Here is a 9,602-nt window from a genome sequence, read left to right as displayed (position 1 = left end):
TGGGGCCTCTGGCTTCTGGATGGTGCTGATGGCTGCCAGAGGCTGCTGTGGTAATAACGGCCAAGGTACAGGGCCTGCTACAATCTCCAAAGCATTCCCACACTTCATCCTCTCAGGAGGCACCATGATCCTGACTTTACAGATGAGGATATGACAGTCCTTGGTGCTAGGTGACTTGCTTCAGGAGACACCGATCCAACGGGAGCCACCCAGAAACCACATTTCTGTTGCCTGAGCCAGCTCAGAAGCTGGTCGGGGGACACTGAGAAGTCCTGTGCATTGAGGCCCCCCTCTGAACAAGGAAGAGAATATGAGGGTAAAAGGGGTGGGTTGTGGGGTCTTCTGCTGAAACTGTGGTCCCTGGGGAAACAAGGAGAAGCCCTCTATTTCTCAGTGGGGAAGACAACTTGGGTGACAGGGTGATGGAAAATATCAGCACAGCTGTAGCTCCAGCCCCACCTTTCCATTTGGAGAGGGCCGGGCAATGTGCAGAACAGACATATGAATGGGTTTTAAAAATACCACTGCCCTGAGCATGCACTTGGGGGAATTATGACATTCAGGGCAATTGGAGAGAATCCATCACTGTCCCAGGGAACATGCTCACTGCATGAGGGATGCTCTCAGCTCTCTCTGGGCCTAACACACACAAGCTCAGACATATACATACATACGTATACAAACACACACAAATACACACACACGTGGTCAGCCACAGACACACATATATAGACATACACACAGATAACAGACACGGACACTGACACATACACCCAGACACATACGACACACACACACTCGGATACCCACGGACACACATATACAGATATATACACAGACAAACATAGACACACACAGACACTGACACATACACACACATATACACATGTACACAATTACACATACACACAAATACACACACAGACACACACAAACACAGACATATACATACACATGCATACATATACACATACACATATATACACATATACAAGGAAACCCACAGACACACATATACAGACAGGCACACATGCACATGCAGACACAGACACATACATTCACATGCGTACATATACACATACACATATACACACAAACATACACATCCATATCCACACAGACACATACAGACACATGTACAGATATACACATGCACATAGACACACATTATATATACACATACACACATATATACACATCAGACATACACATATGCATACACAACACAACCTCCCCTCCATCCCTATTCCCTATATCCCTATTCTCCACTCCCCCCAACCTCAACACATAAAGACCCACAGAAGAATAGTGGCCCACAAGACCATGGATGCTGGGGGCAAACCAGTGTCTCACCTGAAAACGGAAAGAAATCTCCCGTTGTCAAATTTCCTTCCAGCCAAACCAGATCATGCAAGCGCTGGGCTTGGATCCAGAGCCCCCACTCTTACTAGCAGTGTGCGATCGGGTAAGGCCTTTGATCTCTCTGAGAGTAGGTTTCCCCATCTGGAATATAGGCAGGATCGTCCCTGCAGAGCTGATATAAGGCTTAGTTGAAGTAACACGGGAAAGGGCTCAGGAAACTGTAAGGTATGGCACTGTATTACAATGGAAAGCCAACAGCGACAAATGCAAGAGTGCACTGCAGACATTGTTCTTGGGAACACATGCCAGAATCCTGGGGGATATGCAGTGCTTGCATGGCCGTGCCTGTTGGTGGACCCTTCTTAGAAGAATGCTGTGTTCTTTGCATTCCAGTCTGGCCACTTGACATAGAGGAGTATAACCCCCACTCTGCTGTGCCTATTCTCTCTGCAGCTTTCCTTCCAGAGGCAAGTACCAGGCAGGTGTTGTCACACTGCTCTCAGGATTACACTAATTATATTTTTATCTCCTAGGCTGGGATGCCCGGCATCTTCAACCAGTGTGGCTCCCACTCTTCGGCTTTCCCGACTGGCTTTCCTCCTGAAGACACAGCCTGTTGTTAAATTGTTACCAGGGTCCCAGGGATTCTGTTCTGAGAAAGGGACAAAAGAGAGCTAATATAAATCCCCAGGAGTGCTCACAGGCTGCCTGCAATCTCATCTGCTTATTCACTCCACCAACATGGTATGTTGGCATGGAGCATCTGCTACATGCCAAGCTCTGCACTGGGCTGGGGGATGCTGAGATGGAAAGACCTAGTCCTAACTCTCCAGGAGCACCCAGGCTGGAGGAGGCAGAAGTGGAGTATGTGAGTGGTATAATAAACAGAGAAGAATCACAGTGGGCAGCAGCATCACTACAAGGGGCTTCACAGAGGAGGCAATGATGGAGTAGAGGCTGAAAGGGTGAGTAGGACTGTGTCAGCTATAAAAAGATTCTGGGAGCAAAGAGGGAACTTGGAGGAAGAAGGAACAGCATGTGCAAAGGCAAGCAGGTGTAAGGGAATGGCAGGAAGCTTGGTGTGGCTGGAGAACCAGGTCTGTAGGGGGTGCTGATGTTCTAATGCTTACATGGCCAATTGTCTTACATGTATCTGTCCTGTTCCTCAACTAGACTCCTTGAAGGCGGAGACTGTATATTTTTATTCAATTCTATGTGATTTGATAAACTTTTACTAAGATGATGTTGTATGCAGGGTACTGAGTTATTTCCTAAAGAGACTCTTGACCTAGTCTTTAACCTCCTGCCCTAAAGGGGATCCCAGCCTAGGAGACCAACACACTCACTCAGAACCACACAGCAAGGCAGGATGCACAGGAGCCCAAGTGGAGACACTGAGGGTTCGGGGAGTTTGAGGGTGGAGTGGAAAGAGATTGATGCCAACTAGAAGGGATCAGGAAAAGTTTATGGAGGAGGTGGTGTTGAGCTGGCTCTTAAATGTCAATGGGGAAGATGGTGGGAAGTTTATCTTTACAAGTGGAAGGCCAGCATATGTGAAGTCTCAAGATTTGAAAAATGCAGGTCAGTTCTGGAATAATGATGAGGCTCCTGTAGCAGTGATGTTGGGCATATGGGTTGTGAACATGAGTGTGTGTTCATGTAGGATGGGAAGGGAGTCAGGAAGCAGCTAGCAACAGCTACCCCTATATAATATTTATGTGGGCTGGCCTCTTACATATTACATATATTTGCACGGTTTACATATATTACCTTACATAGTTTTTATAGCACCAAGAGGTAGATTATATTATATTCTTCAAATAATTTGATTCACAGAGAGACAAAATAATTTTCTTAGGTCATGCAGCTAGAAAGCAGCAGAGCAAGAATTTGAACTTAGCCAGACTAGCTCCAGAGTCTGCTCTGAACACTACACTTCTTCTCAGATGGTGATGATATGTGGCAGGTACTGTTGAGTGCCTGCCCCCTGCCATTCCCTTCTTCTTGCTGGCAGAACCCTGAGTTTGTTTGAGTGTCCACCTCTCCCCAAGACTCTAGGGTAAATCTCAATTTAAGTCAATTCTGGTAACCCCATTTCCCTTGCCCGTCATTGGTGAAGAAAGTGACATGTGGCCGAATCTTGACCAATGAGAGGAAAGAATTCTTCTGGGAGGCTTTGGAGAAAATGTTCTTCACTAACAAAAAGGACAACCGGGAGGAAATGGCTCATCTTCTGTGGTGTGACTTTATGTCTTGAAGTGAGCCCTTGAACTGCAGCAGTTGTCTTATGATTAGGAGGGGAGCTCACCAACATGCTGATGATGTGAATCAAAAAGACACAGACAGCCTGGGATAACAGATTGAGCCACTAAGTGTACCAACTTTGGCAGTCCCCCTACTCTGGGCGCCCTGTGGTGCCAGATCATTAACCTTCCTGGTTGAAGCCAGCTAAGGTGAAGGTCTCTGTTACTTGCAGCCCAAAGCATCCTCTGATGCTTAAGGACATAGGCCACCAAGGGGTTTCCTCACAGAGTCTAGCATGGTGTCTTATACCCACATAGCAGCAGCTGGGGAGACAGGACCCTTCAGGATCCCCATAAATCACAGATCACAGGTAGACACTCCAATCCAGTCCTAGATAGGGCTCACCACCCTACAACAAAAGTCAGTGATTGAGGGTGATATGGTTTGGCCTTCTCCCCACCCAAATCTCATCTTGAATTCCCCCATGTGGTGGGAGGGACCCAGTGGGAGGTAATTGAATCATGGTGACAGGTCTTTCCTGATAGTGAATAAGTCTCATGAGATCTGATGGTTTTAAAAAGAGGAGTTCCCCTGCACAAGCTCTCTCTCTTTTCCTGTGCCACCATCCACATAAGATGTGACTTGCTCCACCTTGCCTTCCACCATGATTGTGAGGCTTCCCCAGCCACGTGGAACTGTAAGTCCAGTTAAACCTCTTTCTTTTGTAAATTGCCCAGTCTCAGGTATGTCTTTATCAGCAGTGTGAAAACAAACTAATACAGAGGGGCTGGGGGAAGAGAGCTGGTAGCCAGCAGTCTTGGGCTCTTGATGTAGCTCCACCCTCAACTTGCTGTTGACCTTGGGGGAGTCATGCCCTTCTCTGAGTCTTGGCTTCATTATCTGTCAAGTGAGTGGGTGCAACTAGATATTCTTTTAGGGCCCTTCCAGTTCTTTGATTTTCTGATGAATTATCATCTGTCTAAACCCATTAAGCTGCCTTTACTAAAAAAAATAAAATGGATGGTGATGGCTGAAGTTGGGGGTAATAAATGATAAATTTAGTCTAGTGACTGCCTTTGTGCTACCAAGACTGGCTGAGAAAAATGTTTTCTCTGCTGAAATGGAGAAGGAGTTAGAACTGTCCCATTTTCATAGGGAAGAGGGAGAGGGGTGATGAAGAGATAGTGGAATTTGAGGCAACTTCCCACAGTGCTTGCATGGTGAACAAGCTCTGGGGACCACAGAGAGAATACTGTTCCCTTCATAATAGGGTAAGGGCAGGAGTGGGACGGGCAGACATCCAACAGCCAGCTTTCTGATCCCTCCTGATAAAGCATCCTGGAGATGGAACAGCATCACCAACTAACTGCAGCTAGAAGTGCTAGATTGCTTTAGGCGGAACATCTGCCTCACATTTGTTTCCAAAGCCTCCACTAGGCTACATTTCAAGATATAAAATATTTCTTCAGAGTTTCTTTCTGATCTTTCTTTTGTTCCCTGCCCTTACCTACTTCTTGGACTCAGCTGGCTGAGTTTGCTTTTTGGATGCTGGGTGCACCCCTCACCCATTCCCACCGTGTCATTCTGCTCTGGATATTCCACCCAGCCCCATCCTTCCTCGACATGCTCTGAAATGGCCTTTTCCCATTTAAAATCCTAATCCACCCACATCTCTGTTTTCCAAAGTGGATCAATATCAGATACATGTCAGAAAGGCAATCTAACTTAACAAATTCACACTGAATTATGAATGACTGCCAGCTTTTTGCTAAAACCACCTTTTTCTTTCATTTATTTCTTTTCCCCTACTCCTTCACCCCCTTCCTTCTTTTCTTCCCTTTACAATAGAAAGTTTACTTAATTGAATTGACCTTTAATTGTCAAAAATGTTGAGTATCATTACAAAAGTGAAAAGACCACTTTCTGGCAGAGCAAAAGAAATTTCAGTGGAGGTAGGCATTGGAACATGTATTCTACTTTGTCTTTTATGTGGCTGTTTTTTTGTTAACCTCCTACACAGTGTATAAACCTGGCTTCCCAAGGCTACAGGTCCAACGTGCTTAACCTGAGAATGTTAAAAATATGCTAAAGTTGACATACACACTGGTCTGGAGGTGGAAGAAAATGGAATTGGGTGACTGTCATAGTCTCTGTATCATGAAGGAAAAAGGGACTAAAACATGGGAGACCCGACTTACCTAGGCTGTACTGAGATTTGGATCACAATCAGCCAGCCACTATCCTCAACGATTTGTGTGTATTAACTCATTAATCCTCTCAAAGAAATTAGTGTGGTAGACACAATTATCAGTCCCATTTTACAGGTGAGAAAACTGAACCACAGAGAGTTAAGAACCATCTCTAGGTCACAGAGTAGCACAGCCAGGTTTGGAAGCCAGTGTGACTCTAGGGTCTGTACTTATGACTCTCTGGCCCTTTGAAACCTATAATATGCATGGAATTTGTCCTTTACATCCTTAACTATGTGCTGGCTTATGGTGGTTTGGAGTCCTGCCTTTGTCTAAACCTTATCCTGTATTTTCCATCAAAGTGGCCTATCCCATGTTCTATTCCTCCTGTTTCATCAGATGGAAATGTAATTAACCAATATCAAGGTATAAAAATGAATATAATTAAAAGCTTCTGCACAGAAAAATAAACAATCAACAGAGTAAACAAGTAACCTACAGAATGGGAAAAAATATTTGCAAAGTGTGCATCCAACAAAGGGCTAATATCCAGAATCTACAAGGAACTCAAACAACTCAACAAGATAAAAACAAAGAACCCTATTAAAAAGTAGGCAAAGGACATGAACATTTTTCAAAAGATATATAAGTGACCAACAAACATATGACAAATGCTCAACATCACTAATCATCAGAGAAATGCAAATGAAAACCACAAGATACCATGATATACAAGTCAGAATGGCTATTACTAAAAAGATAAAAAACAACAGATGTTGGTGAGAATTCAGAGAAAAGGGAATGCTTATTTATACACTGTTGGTAGGAGCATGAATTAGTACAACCTTTATGGGAAACAGTATGGAGATTTCTCAAAGAACTAAAAATAGAACTACCATTCAATCTAGCATCTCACTACTGGGTATAAACCCAAAGTAAAAGAAATAATTATATCAAAAAGATACCTTCACTTGTATGTTTATTGCAATGGTATTCACAGTAGCAAAGATGTGGAATCAACCTAAGTATGAATTAACAGAGGTTTAGATGAAGAAAATGTGGTATATATATATAACATGGAGTATTACTCATCCATAAGAATGAATGAAATCATGTATTTTGCAGCAATATGGATGGTACTGGAAGCCATTATCCTAATGAAATAACTGAGAAACAGAAAGTCAAATACTGCATGTTCTCACTTATGAGTGAGAGCTAAACAATGGGCACACATGGACATACAGAGTAGAATGCTAGACATTGGAGACCCCAAAATATGGGAAGATGGGAGGGGGTGAGGGTTGAAAAATTACCTGTTGGGTACAATGTTCACAATTCAGGTGATGAGTACACTAAAAGCCCAGACTTCACCAATATACAATACACGCATGTAAGAAGTCTGCACTTGTAACCCCTAAATATATAAAAATTAAAAAATTAAAAAGTCACTGCCATACTTCAGTTAGTGAATAAACATTTTCTGCTTGCTTGCTTCATGTCTAGATGCAGTGCAGAGTAAAAACATCAACGACATAAGGTCCCTCCCTCAAGGCGGCCATAGTCAAGCTTGAAAGATGAATGTAAATACCTAGCATGCTGGATAGAAAGGGATGTGAATCACAGGATAGGTAAGACAAAAACAAATAAGGAAGAGCGAGAGATTACAGCAGCCTGGGGGTCTGCTCTGGAGGGGGATGATGTAGCTTTGAGCATGACTTTGAAAGCTGAGCAACCCCATGGACAAAGACAGCAGGAGCAAAGGCCTAGAGATGGAAAGGCATGAGAAGATTTGAAGGTTGGAAAATGCCCCTGTTAGGTCAGGGCAGTGGGACTAGGAAGCAGAGCAGCTGGCAGGGAGTAGGAGTTGGGTTTTGCCAAAACGAAAGTTTGGGTACAGACCGCAGACCGAGGGTTGGCTTTTGCCCTTTAAGTGTCATATTCAAAACTGTGCCATTATGTTTTGATGACAGCACTTTAGATCTTTACATCTTTGATTCTCAGACTGAATTGCCCAACTACCTGGGGCGGAAGGTACCCAGCAAAGTGCTGGAAAGACCAAAGGTCTTTGTACATCTTCTTGGAGCAATATTTTTATTTCATAGGTACTATTTTAAAACATTGCTTTCATATGAAAACAAATATGGGTAAATTATGGCATAGAATACAATTTGCTATCATTTCTCAGCTAAAACAGGAGAGCCTTTAGATGGATCATTTTGGGCTGCAATCTGAAGGAAGTGGTAGTCAAAATATTTAACCACCAATAGGAGCAGCAACCAATAACAACTGGAGCAGGGTCTTGGAGGACCCTTGCAACACCAGAGATTAACTCTTTAATAGCTGGACTGAGAGGAGTACTGGAGCCCCAAGGGAGGAGCTGGGAGAGCAGCCAAGGAAGGAACTGGGGAGCTCTGGACTGCATCCATTTACCAACTGGTAGGGAAGTATTTAAGTATTTTAACAACCAGCTGGATATCTGTCCTGGTTATCCTCCTACCAGCCTCAGGGAATCCACTGGCTTTCATCTTCATTAAGCCAATGTTGAGGGAAACTCAGAGAAACATTGCTTTGACCTAAGAGGTGACTCTATGTGAGTTAGGGATCTGGGGTTAGGGGAAACATTTTCTAGGCATAGCATGGCCCAAATCACAATGTCCAGGCAACCTTCTCCTTTACCCTTGCTGAAGGCCTGTCCTACCTGGTCTTTCCAATACTGATACAGCCAAGAAAGGTCCCATCTCTGAGCAGCGGCCCCCACAACACAGCTTTCAAAGAAGACAACAAAGCTTACTCCATAGGCTCACCCAATTTCACCTATAAATATTTTTTTCACAACAGCTTTGGAGGAAAAAAAACCCCATTCAGACCCTTAGCAATACATCAAGGATACTTGAATGCATTTGAAATATAATGAGTATGCAGCCATAAAAGACATGCCTCATAAGAATATTTTGAAGGAAGAAATAAAACTAATGATCCTGCCTTTGTACCTTTCCTCTCTGAGGCAGCAGTGAGTTTCCTGATGCTTTCCCCAAATAACAAACTCAGGTATAAATTATAATCGGTAACCAGGATCTTGCATAGGAAGTGCCGTTGTTAATGTGAAGCAGGTGGACCTCCCACCTTTGGCCTGGCTGTTTCAGGCAGTGTCCCTCTCTCCAGGCTTGGTGGGCAGGCTGAGATGCCAGCCGTTTGCAGTAGACACAACCCACTTCCCAAGATAAAGAAGCAGGGAGACCCTGCACATGGTCTTCTCACCTGACCTGCAGCCAGAATTGGCCACGTGACCCAATTCTGGCCCCTGAGATATAAGGGGCAGTTGCTGGGGCTCCTGGAAAAGACTTTGTTCTTTCCTAAAATGGGAAAGATGATGAGAAGGTGCCTTTGCCTCCCCGCTTCTTCACTGTGTTTGGACACTCACGTGATGTGGGAATTATGCCAGGAACTGCAGAAGCTGCTTTTTGAGCAGAGTAGAGACACGCTGACACACTGAAGGTGGCAGAATTGGTGGATGGAGAGGGCCTGGGCCCTTCTTAATGTGAAGGAGTTGCTGTTCAACCCCAGACACCACCTACCTCTGCAAGTTTTATCATCAGAGATGAAAACTTCTATCTTTCCCCACTTCCACTCATGTGCTCTTACTTATAGCAAAGGCATTCCGTACTAGTCAAGATAAGGCAGACTTCCCTGCTGTAAGACATTGGTTCACAAATCTCAGTGGTCAAGCACAAAATGTTTCTTTCTCATTCCCTTAAAGCCTGGAGAGCTGGACAGCCCTCCTCCATCTTGTGGCTATGTCAATGTGTC

The sequence above is a fragment of the Homo sapiens genome, chromosome 6 (genome assembly GCF_000001405.40).
Source record: "Homo sapiens chromosome 6, GRCh38.p14 Primary Assembly".
Classification (NCBI taxonomy): Eukaryota; Metazoa; Chordata; class Mammalia; order Primates; family Hominidae; genus Homo; species Homo sapiens.
This window is presented reverse-complemented; position numbering follows the sequence as displayed.